Source organism: Homo sapiens, chromosome X (genome assembly GCF_000001405.40).
Source record: "Homo sapiens chromosome X, GRCh38.p14 Primary Assembly".
Taxonomy (NCBI): domain Eukaryota; kingdom Metazoa; phylum Chordata; class Mammalia; order Primates; family Hominidae; genus Homo; species Homo sapiens.
Genome location: NC_000023.11, coordinates 35,148,429 through 35,173,145, shown reverse-complemented (window position 1 = coordinate 35,173,145; position 24,717 = coordinate 35,148,429).

The window sequence follows — 24,717 nt, the reverse complement described above, 5'->3', positions numbered from 1 at the left end:
GATATTGATTTCCAAAAAGGTATCACAAACTATTGGAAAGCTAACCAATCTCTTTTGCACTTTCTTAAATTATACTTGAATACAGTCTATAAAACTTATTAAAACTAGTTAAATTCTTTAAAAAATATAATAATTCAATGCTCACCACTCAGACATTATATAACTAGCAATTATAACATTTTTAATAATTGGTAATACACATACTAAAAATGCAATTTGGATGAAAGTTGTAACAGAGTCCTTTTGTTTATTTTTTCTAAAATGTAAAATTTGCAAAAGGCTGAACAACTGCTTTGTGAATCTGAAGAGTTTCCATTGAGACATTTCCAACTTATTACTACTATAAATACTGCTCTGTCCATTTCTAGCTGGGTTTTTTGTTTATTTGTTTGTTTTTGTTTTTTATAAAGGAGCTTCTTGAAAGTCAAATAACTTGATCACTTGTTAGGATATATTTAAGACACTTGATATATATTAGCAAATTTCTTTTTTCATTCTCTTATATTCCTGCTAAAATGCATAAAAATGCCTTTCTCACTAATATCAGCATTAGCATTCGCATTTTACAAATTCTTTACTAATTTAATAGAAAAAAATAAAATCTTATTTCTCTTTCTCTTTAATATATGTGTCTTTAATCAATAACAACATGAAATATTTGTTCTTTTTTATTAGCTATTGTATTTCGCTCCAGTAACTTTCTTGTTTTTATTCTTTTTTTAAATTGAAAGTGTTTCTTACAGCTTTATATAAACTCTAAATATATTTATTTATTTTTATATTATAAAGATATCAAATGTCTCCTCTACTTACTGCAAAAGTATCTTTGTTAGATCATTACCATTTAGTATTCTTCATGATATTTGACCATTCATTATGTTCTTTTCTCATACTAAAAATGAATAACACAGGTTTAGGAGCAAGATAATGGAATAGAAGCCTACAACATTTGCTCTCCGACCCCACTGGAAAACCAAATGACTCTTGGGTTTCCTGACACCAGGCCTAGGTGGTGGGACAGCATTTCTGGACCTGCCCTGGGAAAGAAGGGAGCTTAACAGTCCTGAAAGGTGAGTCCGAGGCCTGACAGCATTCACCACAAACTAACAGAAGAGCCCTTGGGCTTTAAGTGAACATCAGCAGTGGCCTGGCAGAACTTCCCATGAACCAGTGGTGGTGGTAGCCACAGGGAGCAGCTCTTCTGCTTGTGAAAAGGGGAGGGAAGTTAGGGAGATGGTTTGTATTGTGATTTTAGTGCCAGGTTAGCCACAGTACAGTAGAACGCTAGGTAAATTGCTAAGGTTTTTGACTCCAATCTCTGGCTCCCAGACAGCATCTCTGGAAATACTCAGGGCCTTGGAGAACTCACTGCCCTAAAGGGAAGGTCCTTGGGCAGGGCCCAAGGATGTGCTGGTTTCAGGTCTGACCCAGTGCAGTCCCAGTGGTGGTACCACAGGTGTGCTTGCATCACCACATCCCCAGCTCCAAGTGGCTCAACAAAGAGACACTCTATATATTTGGGAGAAAGTATGGGAAAAAAACAAAAGTCTCTGCCTGGAAATTCAGAGAATTCATCCCAATCATTTCCAAGACCACCAAGTTGGTGCCTCTATGAGTCTGCAAAAACCATAGTGTTATTGGTCTTGGGTCCCAAGTCCCTTTAAATACGTGGAAATCTTCCCAAGAAGGACAGGCATGAACAAGCCCAAACTGTGAAGATTACAATAAATACCTAACTCTTCAGTGCCCAGACACTGATGAATATCTACAAGCATCATTAACATCCAGGAAAACATGACCTCACCAAATGAACAAAATAAGGCACCAGGGACCAATCCCGAAGAAACAGATATATAACCTTTCAGACAGAGAAATCAAAATAGCTGCTTTGAGGGAATCTCAAAGAAATTAAAGTTAACACAGATAATGAATTCAGAATTACATTAGATAAATTTAACAAATAATTGAAATAATTAAAAAGAAGCAGAAATTATAGAGTTGAAAAATATAACTGACATTCTGAGGAATGCATTGGAGTCTCTTAATAGCAGAATTAATCAAGCAGAAGAAAGAATTAGTGAGCCTGAAGACAGGCTATTTGAAAATACACAGTTAGAGGAGACAAAAGAAAAAAGAATAAAAACAATTAAGCACACTTACAAAGGTAGTAAAAATAGCCTCTAAAGGACAAATCTAAGAGTTATTGGCCTTAAAGAGGAGGTAGAGAAAGAGATAAACCTATAAAGTTTATTTAAAGAGATAATAAGAGAGAACTAGAGAAAAATATCAGCATTCAAGTGTAAAAAGGTTACAGAAAACTAAGCAGATTTAACCCAAAAATGACAACCTCAAGGCATCTAATAATGAAATTCCCAAAGGTCAAGGATTAAAACATGATCCTAAAGTCAGCAAAAGATAGAAATGAGTAACATACAATGGATCTCCATATACATCTGGCTGCAGACTTTTCAATGGAAACTTTATAGGGCAGGGGAGAGTGGCTTAATATATTTAAAGTTGTTGAGGAAAGAAATCTTTTATCCTAGAATATTATATTTGGCAAAAATCTTTTTTTTTTTTTTGGATGGAAAAGCAAAGGCTAATCTCTTTATTTCAGCCACTAATAATTGTGGTAATCGTGGGTGTTAAACCTTGAAGTCTTCGTGGCATTGCTGTTTATCTGGTGGAAACTTATGACGCTTAGAATAGGCTGAAAAAACCTTTTAAGCATGAAGCAGAAATAAAGACAGTCTCAGACGAACAAAAGCTGAGGATTTCATTAACACCAGACCTGTCCTACAAGAAATGCTAGAGAGTTTTTCGACCAGGTGCGGTGGCTCATGCCTGTAATCTCAGCACTTTGGGAAGCCAAGGTGGGTGGATCACCTGAGGTCAGGAGTTCAAGACCAGCCTGGTCAACATGGTGAAACCCAGTCTCTACTAAAAATATAAAAATTAGCTGGGCATGGTGGTGGGTGCCTGTAATCCCAGCTACTTGGGAGGCTGAGGCAGGAGAACCCTTGAACCCAGGAGGTGGAGGTCGCAGTGAGCCGAGATCATGCCATTGCACTCCAGCCTGGGTGACAAGCGTGAAACTCCATCTCAAAAAAAAAAAAAAATGCTAGAGAGTTTTTCAATCTGAAAGAAAAGGATGTCAATGAGCAAAAATAATTCATCTCAAGGTACAAAACTCATCAGTAATAGTAAGCACACAGAAAAACACAGAATAGTTTAACACTGTAATTTTGGTGTGTAAGCTACACTTGTCTTATGGAGAAAGACTAAATGATGAACCAATCAAAGAGAAACAACAAAATCTTAAAAAGCAGGGGGACAAAGTTAAAGTGTAAACTTTTATTAATTTTCTTTCTGTGTGTTGTTTGTTCACATGTTTATGCAGTCAGTGTTCATTTGTCATTGGTTTAAAGTAGTGGGCTGTAAGATAGTATTTCCAAGCCTCACAGTAACCTCAAATCAAAAATCACGCAATGGATACAGAAAAGATATAAAGCAAGAAATTTAAACATGCTACTAGAGAAAATCCTTTACTAAAAGGATGAATAGAAGGAAGAGAAGACCAAAAACAACTAGAAAACACATAGTAAAAGTCCCCATTAACAATAACATTGAATGTAAAAGGATTGAACTATCTAATTAAAAGATATTGAGTGGCTGAATGAATGAAAATACAAGACCCACTGACCTGTTGCCTACAAAAAAAAAACATACTTTATCTATAAAGGTACACATAAACTGAAAATAAAGGGATGGAAAAAGATAACAATGCCAATAAAAATGAAAAAAGAACAGGAGTAGCTACACATATATAGATAAAAATAGATGTCAAGACAAAAACTGTAAGAGGCAAAGAAGGTCATTATCTAATGATAAAGGGGTCAACTCAGCAAGAGGATATGACAATTGTAAGTATATATGCATCCAACACTGGAGCATCCAGATATATAACCCAAATATCATTAGGGCTGAAGAGAGAGATAGACTCCAATACAGTAATAACTGAAGACTTTAACACTTCCTTTTCATTATTGGACAGATCTCTCAGACAGAAAATCAACAATCATCAGACTTAAACTACACTATGGAACAAATGGACCTAATATTTACAGAAGATTTAATCTAACAGCTGCAGAATACACATTTTTCTCCTCAGCACATGGATAATTCTCAAGAATAGACCATACGTTAGGTCAGAAAAGAAGTCTTAAAACACACAAAAAAATCAAACATCTTCTCTGATCACAATGGAATAAGCCTAGAAATCAATAACAAGAGGAATTTTGAAAACTATATAGACACGTGAAAATTAAACAACATGCTTCTGAATGACCAGTGGGTTAATGAAGAAATTAAGAAGGAAATTGATAAATTTCTTAAAACAAGTTGAAAATGGAAACACAACATATCAAAACATATGGGATACAGTGAACACGGTACTAAGAGGGAAACTTAGTACTGTGCCTACATAAAAATTCCAATAAATAATGACCTAATAATGCATCTCAAAGAACTTGAAAAGCAAGAGCAATCCAAACCCAAAATTGGTAGAAGAAAAGAAATAATAAATATCAGAGCACCAATAAATAAAACTGAAATGAAGAAAACAATACAAAACATCAATGAAACAAAAAGTTGCTGTTTTGTAAAGTTAAACAAAATTGACAAACCTTTAGCAAGCCTATTCAAGAAAACAAGAAAGAAGACCCAAATAAATACAATTGAAGATGACAAAGTAGACACTATGACTAATACTGTAGAAATTCAAAGGAGGTTACTATGAGCAAATATATGCCAACAAATTGAAAAGTCTAAAGGAAATTGATAAATTCCTTGACATATACAACCTACCAAGATTGTCCCATGAAGAAATACAAAACCTGAACAGACCAATAACAAGTAACAATATCGAAGTTGTAATAAAACGTCTTCCAGTAAAGAAAAGCCTGGGTCGTCATGACTTCACTGCTGAATTCTACCAAACATTTAAAGAAGAATTAATACCAATCCTACACAAAATGCTTTCAAAAATAGAGTAAAAGGAAATACTTCCAAACTCATTCTATGAAGCCAGTATTACACTGATACCAAAACCAGACAGACATATCAAAAAAAGGAAACTACAGGCCAATATATCTGATAAATATTGATGCAAAAGTCCTCAATAAAATATTAGCAAACTGAATTCAACAGTACATTGAAAAGATCATTCATTATGACCAAGTGTTATCTATCCCAGGGAGGCAAACATGGTTCATCATATGCAAATCAATCAATGTGATACATTATGTCAACAAAATGAAGCACAAAAACATAATCATTTCAATTGATACTGAAAAAGAATTTGATAAAGTTCAACATTTCTTCGTGATAAAAACCCTCAAAAACTGGGTATATAAAGAACATACCTCAACATAATAAAAGCCATATATGAGAGAATCGCAGCTAGTATCATACGGAATGGGGAAAGCAGAAAGCCTTTCCTCTTTGATCTGGAAAACAAAAATGATGCTCACTTTCACCACTGTTATTCAACATAGTAGTGGAAGTCAGCCAGAGCAATAATAAAAGAAAAAGAAATAAAGGGCATCCAAATTGGAATGGAAGAAGTCAAAATATACTTGTTTTCAGATGATATAATATTATATTTGGAAAAACCTAAAGACTCCACATAGAAACTATTAGAACTTTTAAAGAAATTCAGTAAAGTTGCAGGACACAAAATCTGCATACAAAACTCAGTAGCATTTCTATATGCCAGAAGTGAACAATCTGAAAAAAAAATTAAATAATCCTGTTAACAGTAGCCACAAAATAAAATGTCTATAACCAAAGAAATGAAAGAAATTAAATTAAAACTATATAAGACAGATGGAATAAATTGAAGAGAACACCAAAAAAATGAAAAGATATTTCATGTTCATGAATTGAAAGACTCAATATTGTAAAAATGTCCACACCACCCAAAGCAATCTATAGATTTTATGCCACCCTACGGAAATACCAATGACATTCTTCACAGAAATAGAACAAACAGTTCTAAAATTTATACGGAATCACAAAAGACCCAAAATAGCCACAGCTTTCCTGAGCAGAAAGAACAAAACTGTTGAAATCACATTGCCTGACTTTAAGTTATCTTACAGAACTATAGTAACCAAATCAGCATGGTACTGGCATAAAAACAGACAGATAGACCAATAAAACATAATAGAGAACCTAGAAACACATCCACACACCTACAGTGAACTCATTTTTGACAGAGATGTGAATAACATACATTGGGGACAAGATTGTCTCCTCAATAAATGGTGCTGGTAAAACTTGATATCCATATGCAGGAAGAATGAAAATTGATCCCTGTCTCTCACTTTATACAAAAATCCAATTTAAATGAATTAAAGACTTAGGTCTAAGACCTTAACCTATGAAACTACTGTAAGAAAATATTGAGGAAAATTTCCAGGACATTGATCTGGTCACAAATTTCTTGAGTAACACCCCACAAGCACAGGCAACCAAAGCAATAATAGGCAAATTGGATCACATCAAATAAAAACATCTTCTTTACAGCAAAGGAAGCAATCAGCCAAATGAAGAGACAATTCACAGAACGGGAGAAAATTTGACTTTTTGCCTGTCTCTCAACTAGTTTCTAACTTGGGTTCAGGCCATAGGGTTGCTATTCAATGATCACCTAATACCCCAATATCTTGCATCATTCCATGGAAACCTTGAGCTGATATTTGGAGAATAAAAGATTATGTTTCTGGCACAGCCTGGGCAAGAGACATCATATATCAATGCTTTTATGTCATGTGGCTTTTTGACCTTGGTGGATTGCAGCAGTTTATATTTTGGTAGGTTTTTAACTGTTTCAGGCAAGGCAGGCCTCAGTAAGCATAAACAATAGGAACTTCTGGCTGACCTTACCCTGACCCACAGTAGCTTAGCTTTTAACCACGCAGAATCTGCTGACACAAGGATTACATGATCAAAGAAGAAAGCCATTTAGTCCTAGTTAAGGCCTATATCAAAACAAGTTGCATTTCTAAGTGTTTGAGCTTTCCAAGCATTTGTGCATCGGGTAAAAGGAAAAACAAAACAAAACAAAACCAAAAAACCTCTGTTGTTTTCTCAGCCAAATATATATGCTGAATTTTAAACTTGCAATAGCAGACAGAATCATGAGAGATAAAGGCCAATAGTTTATATGTTGCCTGCCAGATATAAGTGGGTAATCCTTGTTCAGAAGCCCCCAATTCAGCTTCTCTTAATGTCATTTTACTATAAGGCTGAGGGAACAGATTGTCCAATCTTAGGAAATTCAATGGGTTCTCCATGTACTCTAGTCTAAAACTTCATCATATGATCTCTACCTCAACCAGAATTTACTAATTACAAAAATTTGGACCAAGTTTTCAGCATTCATTAACCCAAATGGTGTTGTTGCCTAAAGTCGGAGGGTAGATTTTATTCATAAACAAGTGGAAAGATATTTAAAATAAGTATAATGTGTTATTGTTGTTAAGAAAGAGAAACATTTGAATGAAATTGAAATACTAAGAGTTTAAAGGACAGAAATACTTGTGCCTAAAATACTCTGTCTTAGAGAATAAAATTGATTAAGTCAGAGAAGATTCAGAGTAGTTTGAAATATATAGTTCAGACTTACTCTCTGCATAGAAGCAGTGGAAAAATGAATGTAAAATAAAAAAAGGATCGATAAACTAATAAGCAGAGATTTATTTTAGAACTTAGAACCAGGCTAAGCAGATCTAAAAGAAAAATGAACGTATCCATTTCTAATTTTTCTTTAAAAAGGAAAAGCCCAAGCACTGAGCCTCAATGATAAAATAGAAGGCACTGAGTACATATTTTTGCAAAATGCCAAATGAGCAAAAGCTGAAAACAAGATTTCATCAATGCCATAAATCAACTTCTGGGATACAAAAATACATATAAAATGTTGTATTAACAATTATATTATAATATAATTGAAGTTTAGCAGCCATTTTAAACTTCAGGATTGCCCCAGGAATCACTTCACTGCTCATTTTTTATGCTCTACATATTGACTTTCAACTAGCATTTCTGGAGGAGGATCTCACTTTGTCTTCTTTTTGACTTCTCTGTTTTTTCTTCATTATGTGTGGTATATAACTTTGGGGTTTTCCTGAGGAAATATTGGGGTGGCAAAGTTAATATTCTGCTTTTACTTCATCTTCACAAGATGTGAAGGATTTAGAAACAGGACTTGAAAGATTCAAGACTTAAATGGAATTAAGTAAATACAACTAAGTAAAAAGCTTTCATAAAGCTGTTTGAAGCAAATATGTCAAACACTGTAGTCTCTTCTGCCTGGAATTGACACTTAAATTTATACACACATTTGTTGGCTCAAAAAGAATGTTGTGTCATCCATAAATTTTCTAGGTAATAGTCCCTTAATAGTCATCTTGGCAATCTATTTCCTTTTTAACTATTTGAAAATTCTTAACAACTATTTTGTGTATACTTTACGATCTTCACAAAATATACTCTTGTAAAAGTAAATATAAACTTACATATAAACTGAATGATAGAAATTCAACACATACAACACATAGGATTTTTTCAAGTTATACTTATAATGGAAACTTATCTTTAAAAGCAAGTATTCCAGTTATTCCAGTGTTCAAATGAATTCAGATATGTCTTTTTTTTTTTTTTTTTTTTTGAGACGGACTCTCGCTCTTCCACCCAAGCTGGAGTGCAGTGGCGCAATCTTGGCTCATTGAAACCTTTGCTTCCTGGGTTCAAGCGATTCTCCTGCCTCAGCCTCCCAAGTAGCTGGGACTACAGGCGCGTGCCACCACGCCTGGCTAATTTTTTGTATTTTTAGTAGAGATGGGGTTTCACTGTGTTAGCCAGGATGGTCTCGACATCCTGACCTCGTGATCCGCCCGCCTCGGCCTCCCAAAATGCTGGGATTACAGGCGTGAGCCACAGCGTCCAGCCCAGATATGTCTTATATGTATTATTAATTGTTGCACTGATTAGAATAAAGTAAGCTAGGCTATCACATGATGAAATTCAATTCAAAACTGCCAGAGACAACAATGAAGTAGATATTTAGCTCTTCAGCTTTCCAAATTCTGAAGCCAAAAGCTGAAACCAAATAACAGTTTTTAGCCAAATTGTAGGGTTCATGTGAACCCACTTGAGAGATAGGATCTTAGAGTTAAAGATACATTTTGTGTAGTATAGTAATTGTGGAATAAAATAACTACTGGAAGATTGTATGATTGTATAACATACATTTTTGCTCAATATCATATTTCTAAATTGTTGCTGTCCTTTACAGTATTTCATTGAATATGGAACATTTTTTCCATTCTTTGAATAATGAACAGTTACGGATTTTTTTTGCTTATTTTTTAAATAAATGCTGCTTTGAACATTCTTGTCCGTATCTCCTTGTAAATATGTGTGTCTCTGGGATATAGCCTTAGTATTTTAGTTGTTGGTTTGTCAGGTTTATGCTTCTTTAACTTGTCAAATAATATCAGATTGTTTTCTGAAACAACCACAATTTTTCCTGTTTGTAGGACAGACTAGTTCTCCGTCCCTTGCAGCTCATGGGCTGAGTTCTGACCAATGGGATGTAGACAGAGATGATGCGCAATCTTGAAAGGTAAAAGAGTACCATACTTCTCATTTTTAGTTTCTCCTTGCTGGAATGAAGATAGTACAGATGATAATCTCAATAATAGTGATGGATATTTAATACTATGTGAGGGCGAAATAAGCCACTATTTAGGATAATTCACTGATAATTTAGGTTTTCTGACACTCCCATCAGAACCTAATGAGAACTAACTTACGCTCTCAATTTGCAACCAGTAAGCATTTTCATAAGCTCTCATTCTTGTCAACAATTATTATTATTATCATATTCTCTCTATTTTTGTCAATTTGGTGAGTATGAAATAATCTCTAATTGTGGAATTAATTTATATTTATTAATTATTGATGAAACTAAATATCTCTTTATATGTATATTACGTGTTTCCATTTATAAAATAACTTTTCTTGACTTTTGACTATTTCTTCCAAAAAATAGTTTCTATTTTTATTGATGATTACAATTTTCAAATATAAATATTCTAGAAACTAATTTTTGTTAGTTTTATAATTTGAAACTATCCAAACTCAGTGTGTGACTTTTATTTTTTGATGATGAACAGAACATCTTAAGATAATGTTGTTCTATTTATTAATCCTCTCCTTTATGATTTATGCTTTTTATGTCTTACTATATGGAGATGCCCTAAATAATATTTTTCAAATTTATCTTTTAAGTACTTTAATCTTTGCTTTTCACATGGACATCTTTACTACACAAGGAATTGACATTTTGTGTGCATGGTATTAGATAGGGATTAAATATATTTTTGTCTCATTTAAATTTCCTATTATCTCAATACTGCTTGTTGAATAGTCATTTCCGTCCCCACTGATACATAGTGCTATCTCTGTCATAAATCAACTGAGTCATATGAGCCAGTTTTTTCATTTCTATTCCTTAGGTCTAGCTATCTATAACAACACTACATAATTGCATTTACTATAACTTTAGAATAAGTCTTGATTTAAGGTAAGATAAATATCTCAATTTTTTTTTCTTTCTTTTTTTTTTAAGAAGAAATTTCGCTCTTGTTGTCCAGGCTGGAGTGCAATGGCTCCATCTCGGCTCACTGCAGCCTCTGCCTCCAGGTTCAAGCCATTCTCCTACCTCAGCCTCCCGAGTAGCTGGGATTACAGGCGCCCACCACCATGCCCGGCTAATTTTTTGTATTTTTAGTAGAGACAGGGTTTCACCATGTTGGCCAGGCTGGTCTTGAACTCCTGGCCTCACGTGATCTGCCTGACTTGGCCTCCCAAAATGCTGGGATTACAGGCGTGAGCCACTGCACCCAGCCAGTATCTTAGTTTCTTCATAAGCATGTTTCCCTTGAATTCAATCACATTTCTAAAAATCTACATAAGATTATATGTTTGCAACTATAAAACAATATGAAAAAGATTTTTGTTACATGCTAACCAATTTACCTCTATAACATTTACACCATTTACACTCCCAGCAACAATATGTGAGAGTGACTTTTGACCCACTTGTTTGCCTTTCCTTTGACTATAACTGAGTTTCTTAGAGTAAAACAAAACAAAATTTTTTGTATCTTAGAGAAGCAAAATATATATATTATATATATAGCAGCAAAAATATGTACACAAGGATGTTCATAACAGCTTTAATCATTTTAGACAAAACTTGTAAACAATCCAAATGTTTACCAATATTGTCCTATGTTTCTTGAATTCACTGCTAAGTATGTATTAAATGATTTGAACTTCTGATGTTCACAACAATGTAAAAAAATCTCAAAACACGATGTTGATCAGCCTGGCACGGTGGCTCACACCTGTAATCCCAGCATTTTGGGAGGCCGAGGCAGGCAGATCACGAAGTCAGGAGTTCGAGACCAGCCTGGACAATATGGTGAAACCCTGTCTCTACTAAAAATACAAAAAGTAGCCGGGCATGGTGTCGTGCGCCTATAGTCCCAGCTACTCGGGAGGCTGAGGCAGAAGAATCGATTGAACCTGGGGAGGTGGAGGTTGCAGTGAGCCGAGATCACGCCTGGGTGACAGAGCGAGACCCGTCTTAAAAAACAACAACAACAACAACAAACAACGTTGATCAAAAGAAACAAGACACAAAAGTGTACATACTATGTGCTTCCTTTGACATAAAATTGTAGACTAGGAAAAAAATAAGTGATAAATAACAGTCTTTGCCTCTGCCTAGATTGATAGATTTCTTAGAAAAGGGAAGGAGGAAAATTTCTGGAATGATAGAAGTGTTCATTATCTTAACTGGGATGGTGGTTGAAGTGGGTGTATGTATTTGTCAAAGCTCACTGAACTGTGTAATTTTAAAATGTAAAAGATTTTGCATGTAAATTATGCCATAATTTTTTAAATTATAAATGATTTTTAAATACAATAACAATTAAACAAACATATATATTTATGTTTGTAATAGAGAAAAATAACTTTTGCAAACTGTTGTAGGGCAAGATTGTGATTTTGGCTCGTAATGGGAAACAATTCTCCACAGGTCTCTCTCATTGTATGTGTCTTTTGACTTAGGTACTAACTGCCCTTTGTTCCAGACTGTGTTTTCCCTAAGACTTCTAATATTAATACTTTTGACCTCACATAGCTTAGATACATTTATGTTCAACCTGGCTCATTACTTTAAATAGAATAGTGCTTATAAGGATAGAAAAATGTTACTTTAATGTTTTTATAAATATAAATGCTTAATGGAGATATCAGCTTAATTTACAGTTGTTATCATTCAGTTGGGGGGTGATAGTGTGTGGTTCTCTGGTTCAAGGTTTGGAAGGCAAGAAGGAAATAATACGTTTAAAATTCACAACGACATTCCATTATTGCCACAATTTTATAAAGTGCAAAATCGTTTTGGAAAAATACTTTGGACATAGAAATTAAAGTGAAAAGTATGTAAATAATGTGCTTACTGTTCTGCCCTAAATATGGATCATCGTACACCTTTAAACTTTAATCCTCATTTAATGCCAATTATATTCATTAATGTGTATGCTACATACATATTATATATATGTATATAGGTATATAGCTTATTAATGAAACTCAAATAACTTTGATTTATTTAACTTTATTTATGTACACTCACATATACTATAACAAAACTCTAAACAACCTGGTCATTCTTTTCTCCAATTCATATTTGATACAACAAAACCTCAGAGGTGTTATAATCTCACAGAGAGTGTCAGACTCAACTTTTTATTGAGGTCAATTTAATTTCAAAGTCTGCAGTTTTTCTGTCACTTTATACTGCTTCTCTAGCAGTAGGAGTAGGAGTATTAAAGATCAGCTCATTATAAATAAATAGGTTGATATATCTTTTAACTCACTCTTTGCAACTTTTTCCAAAATTCCTTTTGTATTTATGTATTAATTTTCACCATAAGAAATACAAAACTGGTTTCAATATGTAACTCTTTTTATCCATGCCTCTTTATCTTCAGCTTATTCTCTTTCAAAGTGAAAGTTGCATGGCTAAACAATTGAGTCCGATCTAGATTCAATTTAGTTCCTTGACAGATATACATTGGTATGAATTTAATCTCCAGGGATTTCTACCAAGTCCACAGTTGCTTCTTTACACAACTAGCTACCTCAGTTAGTGAAAATAGGGCACTGAATAACAACAGTAGAAGCCTTGTTATATTTTGTCCTCTAGTAAATGTATGCTGAGAAATAAATGGAAAGAAAGAGCAGGAAAGGCGTGGATTAACCATAATGCACAGATCTATCATGAAGCTAGTGAAGCTCAAACTCCAGGGTCTTTCACTTCCACAGATTCCTTACAAAGTCCTGTCTGGTTATAACAAATTTATGTACTTTTTCTTAGAGTCTCCTCAAGATTATATAAGCTTCATGTTATATAAAATCTAAATTGTCACCTGAGAAACTTGAAAGTCATAAGAATATTTCTAGCTCAAATACAAGATCAACATAAAGAAAAGGAAACATAATGGGAAGGAGGCTAATACAGAAGACAGGGACGATAAAGAGCAAAATGTTAAAGTTATCTTAAAAACGGAAAGTTTAGGGGTACTTGGGAAATCTCTTCAAAGGAAAGACTGAGGAAAAATAAACACTGAACATTTGGATTAGAGACTCAAGAAATATTTGTCTCCTCTTTCCCTTGGGAGCATTCCTTGGCAATAACATTTCTACATCAGTCCCTCAAAAGATTGACCTAAAATATATTTATATATCAGTTTGTTGTAGTAAATATTGTGCAAAACTTTAACTGAGAGTTCCCTACTTTTCAATAATTTTTTTCGCACATATGCAGAAGCTAAAACTCGGTGTACACATAAAGAATACATCATAGGTAAATAACAAAATAGAACAAATCAGATAATGGTATAAAAATTGTGTTCATCAGAAAGTTCCACTATTCTGATCTCCATTGATTTGTGAACATAGTCTTGACTTGTATGTGTGTGTGTGTGTGTGTGTGCGTGTAGTAGCACCATCTCGGCTCACTGCTGCAGCCTCCGCCTCCTGGGTTCAAATGATTCTTATGCCTCAGCTTCTTAAATAGCTGGGATTGTAGGCGTGTGCCACCATGCCCAGATATGTTTTGTATTTTTTTGTATTTTTAGTAGAGGTGGGAGTTTCACCATGTTGGCCAGGCTGGTCTTGAACTCCTGACATCACATGATCCACCCGCTTTGGCTTCTCAAAGTGCTGGGATTACAGGCGGCGTGAGCCACCATGCCTGGGTACAGTCTTGACTCATTTCATTTCTGAAGTGAATTGTTTCCCTGCTGTATACACTCAAAGGGATTCTTTTGTTATTTTCCTTTTTACTGAAATTGAAGTAACTGAAAATAAAAGAACAGAATGATTACGTTTTGCCTAAACGTACTTTTTTGTTTTGTTCTAATTCGTGCTAATATTTTGGCTCTGTGTTGCTTTTACATGATATTTGTTTATTCCATGCATATTTTATCTTTGCTTTTGCTCTACTATATCCTAATGTTGCCAAATACTGAAGGTCTTTGAAAAACAGAAAAACAAATAAAATGCACAAAATTGTAATCAATAATATTTAACTCAATTATAAATTCCCTTAGTAGCAAAATAAAGGGATGTAACAACATTTTTCTCAGCTAAAAATTTGCATAGGATTCAAAATTCTTAAATAATAAAATAAAAGATCTCATTTCAAAACAAAAGAGAGAAAGATTGGGTTAGAGAGAAGTCCCTAAACTAGTAAAGGACTTATCAGAAGAGAAAATTAAAAGTCACAAATTACCTCTGTCTCTTGATGAGAGATAAAGGATTTGGCTGAGTAAGGAGAATTTATGAACACAACAGAAGGAAGATTAATTTCATTCAGAAAACCACAGAAAGTAATTTGAACAAATGAATATGGAGAAGAAATTTCTTATGAATAACTTGAAATCACCTCATGGAATAGTTTGTCAAAAACTTATTTTTCATTTCAAGGACACATAGTCCAGAAGGCCTTTCCTGGCTTTTCATAGTCTGGGGCTTTTATCCATGGTGTCTGTGGTGGTCTCTTTGTGTTGGGGTTGGGGGAGAATAAGAGGAGGGTGGATATGGGTTTGTGTAGAAGAGTGGAGTGAAGGGAATGTCTAGGGTAGAAAATCAGAATGTGTAAAAATGTAATTACAATGAAACCTCATTTATAATCATGCAAACTATTTCAGATATTTTGTATCAGTTAATTACTTAATTCACATAACAAGCCTATCCTAATGTGACACTATAGGAAAATGAGATTCCCACTGATAACTTGTCCAACATCACACAGTGACATACTTTCAAAACACTGTCATTAATCCAAATTGTTCTGACACTAATTTCTGTGTTTTTTCTTCCTACTAGTTCTCACTCACGGTGAGTGTACTTCTATGCTCCAACCGAAGGAAAATAGAAGTAGCATTTTATAATAGGCAGATATCTGCCAGTAACATCCAAATCATGCATTCATCTATCCATTCATTCACCTATTCATTTATTTATTCAATACATAATTTTGTTACCATTCATTACATACCAGACTCTGGGAAAATCATGTTTAGGCCAAGAAGAAAACGTCCATCATGGTTTTAACACTGTTTAGAAGACACAAGTTTGTTTATTATTCCGCATGATTATTCCCTCATATAGAAAACACAACTTAAATGCTTATTGTGTAATACAATATATTTAGGGATTTTAAAGTGCTCAAAATGATTCATCTTCACTTTCATATTCTTTTTCTTTGCCTTAGTAGCATATGCTAAAGGCATAAAATTCATCAAATGGAGAATTGTGGAGAGATTTTATTGCTCTGTATTCATGAAATTGCATAGTTATCACTTTATAAGCTTGATGAAACTATCTGAGTATTTATAGCGTCCCTGGTTATTTATTTTATTTCAGAATCTTCATAATTAAATCACACAACTAAGCATATCAGGCCTGGGCCTAAGTGTATATGAAACCATCTCACATTTTTCCTGGGTCCGCAGGATGATTACATTTTACCTTTTTGTATTTGGGAGAAGGTGAAAGAGAGGTGGGAATATGACTAGTCATGCTCAATGGATTATAGGTGGAAGTTACAAAGATGAGTTCCAGACCTATACCATAAACTAATGCAGTGTACGAACCTCCACTCTCTTATCCTTTCCCAGCAATTTTGGAGGTCACATGTAGAAGAAAGCTTTAATAGAGTTGGATTCAGTTTTTGATATTTGACTTCTGGTAGTATTCAAGCTTCACTCTCCCCTTTCCCCCGTCTGCTCATATTGGGGCAAGCTGATAAAATCTGGCTGATCCCTTTTTTGATTTCAACGGGAAGTTTAAACCATGCATGGCTCTACCCACATGACGGAACCCTCTGTGTAGCCTAATTCTCTAACCACTTGAACACCCTGTGCCAATCACAACTCTCTGCTCTCTCAACACATTTATAACCTACTGGGAGCCTGTCCTGCTCTCCCCAAAAAGCCTCGTTATGTGAGAAAAAAAAAGTATGTGTGTGTATAGCATCAAGAGTCTTGATATCAAAACCAAATTTTGAGTGAGAATCAATCTCATCTCTAAAGGATAATCATAACAAGAGCAAAGTCCCAACATGAAAGAATCCTGTTTCCCTGGGTGACTTAAAAGAGTGGACACCTCCATTATTGACCTTATTGAACTCTGATGTGAATGAGCGATAATTTCTTTTTGGGTTAATCTACTGAGATTTTAGCCAATCTAACATGAACAATACAAAATTTAGTACCTTGAAGTAAAGTGCTTTTATAACAAAAATTACAATTTTCAATACAATAATGAAAATAGGAATGAGACAACAAAGAACCTAACATCAGAGTCTAGAGAGATGGCGTGTTATGAATGAGCAAGACATTTGGTAACATTGTTGCCTGCAATAATTAGGAGACAGACTAGACTCCACTGGGTTTTAATTTGAGGGAAAGATGTTTAAAAAGCAAAAATTCAAAAGTTTAGGTGGTCAGTAGGTATATTTGATTTATATAGATATCTGGAAAGAATATGTCTATTTCAAATATAAATGAAGTGGAATACTGATTCGAGAAATTCAGTTTTACATTGTTTTCATATGGATATGCTTACAGTTCTTCATTTTCTTACAATTCTTTCACTTTTTCGTATTTATAGTCTTACAGTTCTGGAAAGAAACAAGAGCTTCTGGACTTCAGTTGTATTTGAAATCAGAAAAGACTTTGAACAACAAAGATGTAATAACATTTCTCAGTTGAAGATAGTGACTCCACCTTATAACAAAAGTCTGACTAAGGGTATAGCCTCTCCACTCAAACTGATAGCCTCATGAAGATAGCTTCCATTATATTGAGAGAACAAAGTAAAGGGTGAATGGGCACAGAAATAAAGCAGATTTTAAAACAATGACTAGGAAAGGATTGTGAGAGAGGTCACTGGCATATGGAAAAATGCAGATCTGATGCCTACTAGGTTTTTGAGGGAACCGTATTACAAAATCAACCAAAAATCTTTATCTGAAAAAATGTAACTTTTCAAAGAGTCTTGAACAATCATTGCATAACAAGGTAGCTACAACAGCTGCACAGCAAACTAGGAAGGTATAATCTTCAAAACTTATTTTTATGTCATTAAAAAGAATCATGGACAGGGAAGAATCTCTTATAGGGTAAAGTCAGGAGCCATGGAGAACAATGGAGATGCGAGTTCTATACAGAGATCAGTATCTGTACTTTCTCACTGTCTGTTTCTTGGGATTTCACAATTGAACATATTGAAAACTATTCTATGTTCCCATTTGTTTCTTTCTAATTTTGGATGGTTATTGTTGTGAATATGCCTCCGATCCAACATTTTTTAATTAGATGTGGTATGAAAAGAAGATGACCTATCTTTTTAGCTTGTAGGTTGCCAGAGCATTGGGAATCTCATCTGTGTTGAATGTATAGGAACCAGGAATCCTACACTTTGAGCTGGATGGAGTAACTGGTGGAAAGTTGAGATCTCTTTCTGAGGAAGGGGAGAATGTTGTCTACATGTAGTGAAGGAAGGAATAATATATGTGATAAGCAAAGGGAAGACTCTTGTAGAAACTGATCAGATACTCACCAAACCCATTTCCTCTTCCAAGGCAAGGGGAACTATATCCTAGCTGCTAAACTATATTCCCCAGCCTCCTGGACTCTATATGGGGCCATGTGACTAGTTCTCGTCAATGAAAGCGGTTGTCAGTAGTATGTTATTTCTGAACTGAGACATTTAAATGTCAGTGTGACATGTTTAAGCTCCAAACCCATTCCTTTTGATGACTAAATACTGTAATAGCAATCTTAAAACCATTTGCTGAAGATAGAGTTACACAACATGAAAGGAGCTTAGAGACCACCATCATCTTCAGCGAAAAGTCACATAACCAGGATTTGTATGAGAATTAAACATTATTATGTTAAGTCCCTCAGCTTTGCTTGTGATGAAAAATAATGTTAACTCCCCAGACTGTGCAACTACAAATAGAGTGTTATACTCACAACACACTGTGTTCTTCCTTAGCTGGTTCTCTATTTGCAAGTTTAACTTGAGGACTTATTTGAAGATTCTAGTAGAGTAGAGGCACTTACCTAGTCGTGTATTCAGGATCCAAAATATGGTTCTTCTCTTGCCCGGAAGGAGGTCCTGCTTCAATAAGTTAGCTGATTCAGTAAAAGAAACATCTGAAGAAAAAGAGGTACTTTCTTGGTCCACACTATCTGTTTATGTATCCTCAGAAATTAGTTTTAAATGTTGAAGAGAAATAGACTCGAAATGTCACTTGAATGGACATTGCCTCAGGAAGCATAAATCCAGGGTTGGTTCATCTGATGGCACAATTTTGCCAGCTTCCATTAACTTTTCAATCCACTGTAATCTTGCTATTTTCTACAGCATTTCAACAACTCCATTCTCACTGCTGTACTCACTGATTTCTAATTGGCAGATCATAATGGCACTTTTTAGTTTTAACTTATTTTTTCTGCTGTGTTTGATTGTCATTGCTGAAAATCTCTTCTCCTTCAAACTCTCCCATTTTCTCATTTTTAAATTTGTTACAGATTTTTGCTCAAATCTCAGATCTCTACTTCTCAAGGTCAATCAAAACATCATTTTTCTTTTTTAACCACTCAAGTAAGTTTACTCAGAGCCCTTTCTCAGCCTCTCTCTTTAATCAAAAGCCCGTATGTTAAGTTTCCACTTATAAACCAATAATAACCCCCAAGCATTTCCCTCCAGTCAGCCCTACTATATTTAGCCCCATACCTTAACACTGACTGCTTCATGTAATTCTACACTTTTCACTTCTATACATTTCAGAGATAACTCAAACTCTAGTGTTTTCTAAAATTCATCTATTACCTTGTTCCTCCAAATCTGTCTCGATCTTCATAATAAAAGGCAGAAACCTGAACTAGAACATATTGGTTACTAATATATACATTTTACCATTGTAATATATCTCAAATCTGTCCCCACCTCTCTAGAGTCATTCCCCTACTCCACTCAACACTAACACCAAGCCCTTTTATTTATGGCTGGAACTATTGCAAAAGTATCTTTATTTATATTATTTCTGCCATTTTCAGTCAACACAAACTCATACTCTACACATCCAAAAGAGGGACTGGTCTAACATGCAGATCTGATCATATAAGTAAAATGCTTAAAATAGTTTCAATGACAAGTTCAAACTCCTCAATGTGGCAAATACTCTTTCTTCTAGCATAGTCTGAATCTTGTGATCAATGGGTCTCAGGATTTCTCCAACGTGTCACTTTCATGAGTGAAATGTTCTGTTTTTCATGCCCAGATTTTAATGAAACTCCTCCACCTACCAAAAAAAATCCACCAAATTTGCAAATACATTAAAGAAAATGATAATACAGTGTGTGTGTGTGTGTGTGTGTGTGTGTGTGTGTGTGTATGTGTGTTTAAGAATACCTGAAGTTCTGCTTATAAAAAAATTGTCATAGGTAAAGTTGGAAAGAAAAGTAAGTTAAAGTAAGTTAAATCTCAGCTTTGGAATGCTATGTTTTTTCTTCTTTCTCTCAGCTGTTAAAGTACTCTGTGTTGGCAGTGACATAAGGAAGAATGAGTCAAGGTCCTATATAATCCCTTTCTGCTAGCTCTAATATCTCCACATTTGCCCCATTCAAGAAAACATCAAAAGACAAATGAGTCCAAGTAAGCATAAAAAATTAACCTGAATATATTATAAAAATAGCAAAAGAAAGTAATTTACAAATGTTAGTATTTGCACTGTTTTTGTTTCTTTTTGCAAATTGCTAGCGACACTTCAGAAAACAAGTGTGTTGATGAAGAAATGCTGGTCACAAGCAACCAAAGTTTCTCTCCTCCCCAGGCCATGATCTTAGACATTACTTACACTTAGGACATTACATTTGAAGTCTTTGTTGACAGTATGTCTCCTCTTAAATATTATAAGTCCTTTCAGAAGAAAAGTAATTTGTGTCATCTTTACCTCCAATTCCTATGATGTTTAGCAGATTATAAAAACATCTAATAAATGTTTACTCAACGAGTGAGTGAACACATATTTTCTAATATTTTTAACTAGTAAAACAATTTTGCTAGTCTTTTCATTGTCCTTTTTTTCCTCCGTAAGAATCACAGACATATTGGGAGTTGCAGAGTCTAAGCAGTTTAAGTTTTGTCACAAACAACTTTGAAATTTCAGAGCATTGCAAGGCATCAGAAAGCAGCAATTTGAAAATAGCTAGTCTACAAGCTCTGAGATTATTTTCTCAACTTGATCTATTCTGCTGTTAATATTTGTGACTGCATTACGAAATTCTTGTAGTGTGTTTTTCAGCTTTACCAGGTCAGTTATGTTCTTTTCTATCCTGGCTATTTTGTCTGTCAGCTCCTGTATCATTTTATTCTGATTCTTTGCTTACTTGGATTAGGTTTCAATGTACTCCTGCATCTCAATGATCTTCATTACTATTAATACTCTGAACTATATTTCTGCCATTTCAGCCTTCTCAGTCTCGTTAAGAACCCTTGCTGGAAAGATAGTGTGGTCATTTGGAGGAATTAGGCACTCTGGCTTTTTTATTTGTCAGAGTTCTTGCACTGCTTTTTTCTCATCTTTGTGGGCTGATATTCCTTTATTCTTTGAAGTTGTTGTCCTTTTGAAGTTGCTTTTTTCCTTTATCCCATCTGATGTCCTTGAGGGTTTGATTGTGGTACTAGGTGGGTTCATTAGACTGGTTTTATTTATGGAAGATGTAGGGGGCCAAGGCTCAGCTCCCAACTCCTGGACTGCTTGCTCTAAGTCTGGGGGACTTGTATCAGGCCCCGACTTTGTTCTCTCACTCTTCAAGTTTAGGAACTCACCGCAATTGGAGGAACCAAGGTGCTCCCAGACCACTTGTCTCTACACTTTGATAGGTGGTGCAAGCCAAAGCTTTTCGTAGGGCAGTGGCGGCAGAATCCATCATAGTTTGCTGATGCCAGCGACAGTGGCAGCGGTAGCATGGTAGGACACACATTCCTCAGCTGCAGCAGGGTGCTAGTGTGTGCTGGGGTGCTTGCTTCTATGTGGGCATTCACAGAAGCAGTTGAGGCAGCATGGCTCAGGGATGTGGAGGGCTCCTGCTAGCAACTGTGCATGTGTTTGTGCCAGTAGGGGTGTTGGCACAGGGGCAGGGCACAGGCAGGCACAGGTCTGAATGCACTGTCTGTACAGATTCATATAGGTGGGGTTGCTCAGGGAATAAGAGGATCCGCTATTTTCTTTGCCTTGTTTCACTCTTGCAGCAGTGTTGGTGCAGGGGCAGGGTGCTGGCCAGGGTGGGGATGGTGGCCTTGTTGCCCGCCAAGGCTCCGACTGCAATGGTGGTAAAAGTGGGGAGGGAGGGCAGTGTGCACTCCCGTTGGCAGCAGTGGCAGGGCAGGGTGCACACACACAGGCATGCTAGTGGGGCTGGGGAGTCAAAATTCACCTGCACACATGAACTGCCAAAGTAATGTGGGCGGGGGGGGTGGCTGTGGGTCCAGAGAAGCTGTGGTTAGGGAGGGTGTAGATAGGTTGGTGCATGGTCATGAGGGATGCGCCACTGGAGCTCTCTGGTAATCAGGCATGGTCCATCAGTGCGGGAGGTATGACACAGGCCCCCAGGACACCCAAGGTTGCACTACAAGCAGGTGCAGCCAAGGTGGCTCCCCAGGAATGACCAGCAGACCAAGGGATGATCAGGTGGAACTGGCCCCTTCTAGTGGGCAAGGCCTTCCTGCAGAGTTCAGGTCCAATATTTCCCCTAGGGCTAAAGTCTTCTATGGGATCAAGTTGAGCCTATGGGGATGGGCATTCCTCGCCGTGCTCTGCTACAGATGCTCCCACACCAAACCCTCTGGGCTCCACATTGGCTGGTGTGCTTTTCCTACTATTTTTCTAAGAAGCTCTCCCTGCCAACTCAAGTTTCCATGGTGGTCAAAGCGTCTCTTCCTGCTGGAATTCCAGAGGCCTGTGGCAAGAGCAAGTTGCTCCTTTCCAGTTCAACTCACCTGTTCCCCCAGAGTTGTCAGGGGCCAGGAAAAACTCTCTGTGTGTGGTAGCCTCGTGCAAGGTTCCCAGTTTTCCTTTCTCTTCAGCCCAGCTTCTGTGTCTTTCCTCCATCCACTCTCAGTGGCTTCTCTCTGAAGATCTGTTGGGAGTGTGCCAGTTGTCCCAGTTCCTCGGTGGCAGCTGTTCCACCCGGCTGCATCTAGTTGGCCATCTTAGTCATTTGATTTTTCAGCACAAGCTGGAAATCTTCGACTTATCCTTAAAGTTGAAACAGAAAAAAAAGTATGTACATATGTTTATGTATACATAAATGAACATATTTTACAACATATGTAATCACTAAAAGCAGAAGCCACTACTGGCAAACTGTATATCCAGCTAATCGGTTTATTACAAATTATTAGGGTCTACCAAGCTAGGAGATGAGGAGGAGATACAAAGAAGCCTTTATAACTTGCCATTTCTATATGATTTGGACAAAATATTTCTGGGAATTTCCCAAGTAAGAAAATAAAAGGATTTAAAAAAAGAAGAAAGTAAAGGAAAACAAAACGAATAATCCAGCATGAAACACATTTTGGCCTTGATGATATTCTTGCCCACTCATTTCAGTCTAATGACTGTTGCTTTTATGTTTTCTCAGAGTCCTCTCCCTGATTAAGGCTTATAGTCTGGAATTGTTGATAATTATGTAATGTCTCTGACTAACAGTCTCTAAGAGGTATCTTTTGGCAGGGATGACAAGGAACAGCAGGGAGACTTATCCAGGATGGAGTAGAGGGAATACAAAAGCTGGATTTGGCCACAAAATAGGAAAAGGGGGAGAACAATAAGAAAAAGGACACTCAGAGTGTTAAAGCTCCTTAGATTTTAGAGGTAACTGAATCCTATCCTTTTGTTTTTCCGTCAGGGAAAATTGAGACCCAAAGTCATTAAAGGGATTGCTGAAGGACACAACAATTTCCATACTTGATATCTGTTCATTAGTTTTAAAAGTCTATGGGTATAGAACCAATCCCATAGTAGCTTCCTTATAGCTAAAAATGTTAACACGGAGGAAAATTTTCACTCTTATAACAATTACAGTAGTCCCTCCTTATCTACGGGGAATATATTCCAAGATTCCCAGTGGTTGCCTGAAACAACAGATAGTACCAAACCCTGCATAAACTGTTTTTTTCCTTAACATACATACCTACAATAAAGTTTTATTTATAAATTAAGCACAGCAAAAGATTAGCAACAATAACTGATAATAAAATAGAAAAATTATAATAATATACAATGCAGTTGTGGTAATTTTTGTTGTCTTTTATCGTTCTCTAAACAACACCAAAATTGATCTGTTTCAAGATGTAAGACCCCTACTGGTGAAAAACTCTACTGGTGTGAATTAGTATTAGGTTCTGAACTCTGGAATCTGTACTACAATGATCATTTTCTGTACCGAGGAACACTAACCTGGACAGGAATAAAATGGAAACTTCCTAGGAAAATCCCATTGTGTATGGTTTCCTTATCTACATCTGGTTAGTTGGATGAGAGCAATCAAATCTGTTTCTATCTTTTCCCTTATACTGAGATACAGTCTTTACAGTATCTGCTATTTGAACACTTTGATCATTCCTAATGATCTTAATCAAGGAATTTTTCTTGGGCTCACTACCTATAGAATTTTAATAACACTCCCAGATATTGTGCAGTTTCTCGTTCTAATGATGTTTTAAGAAATCTTGATTTGATTCTGACCCTCACATCCTTTGCCCTTGATATTGGCCCTTCTTGTGTTTTACTTCTCTTGGTGACAAAACTCTTTTGTCAAGATGCTTTAGAATAAACAAAAAAAACTTCTCAAACCATGCTCATCCCATAATTTTTCACTTCAAAATTTGGCCCCACTGAATTTGGCTCCATTTGTATATCTAATTGGAAAATACCAAGCTCCCGTAATTGAACCATATTTCTAGACATCAAGGTCTTGACAG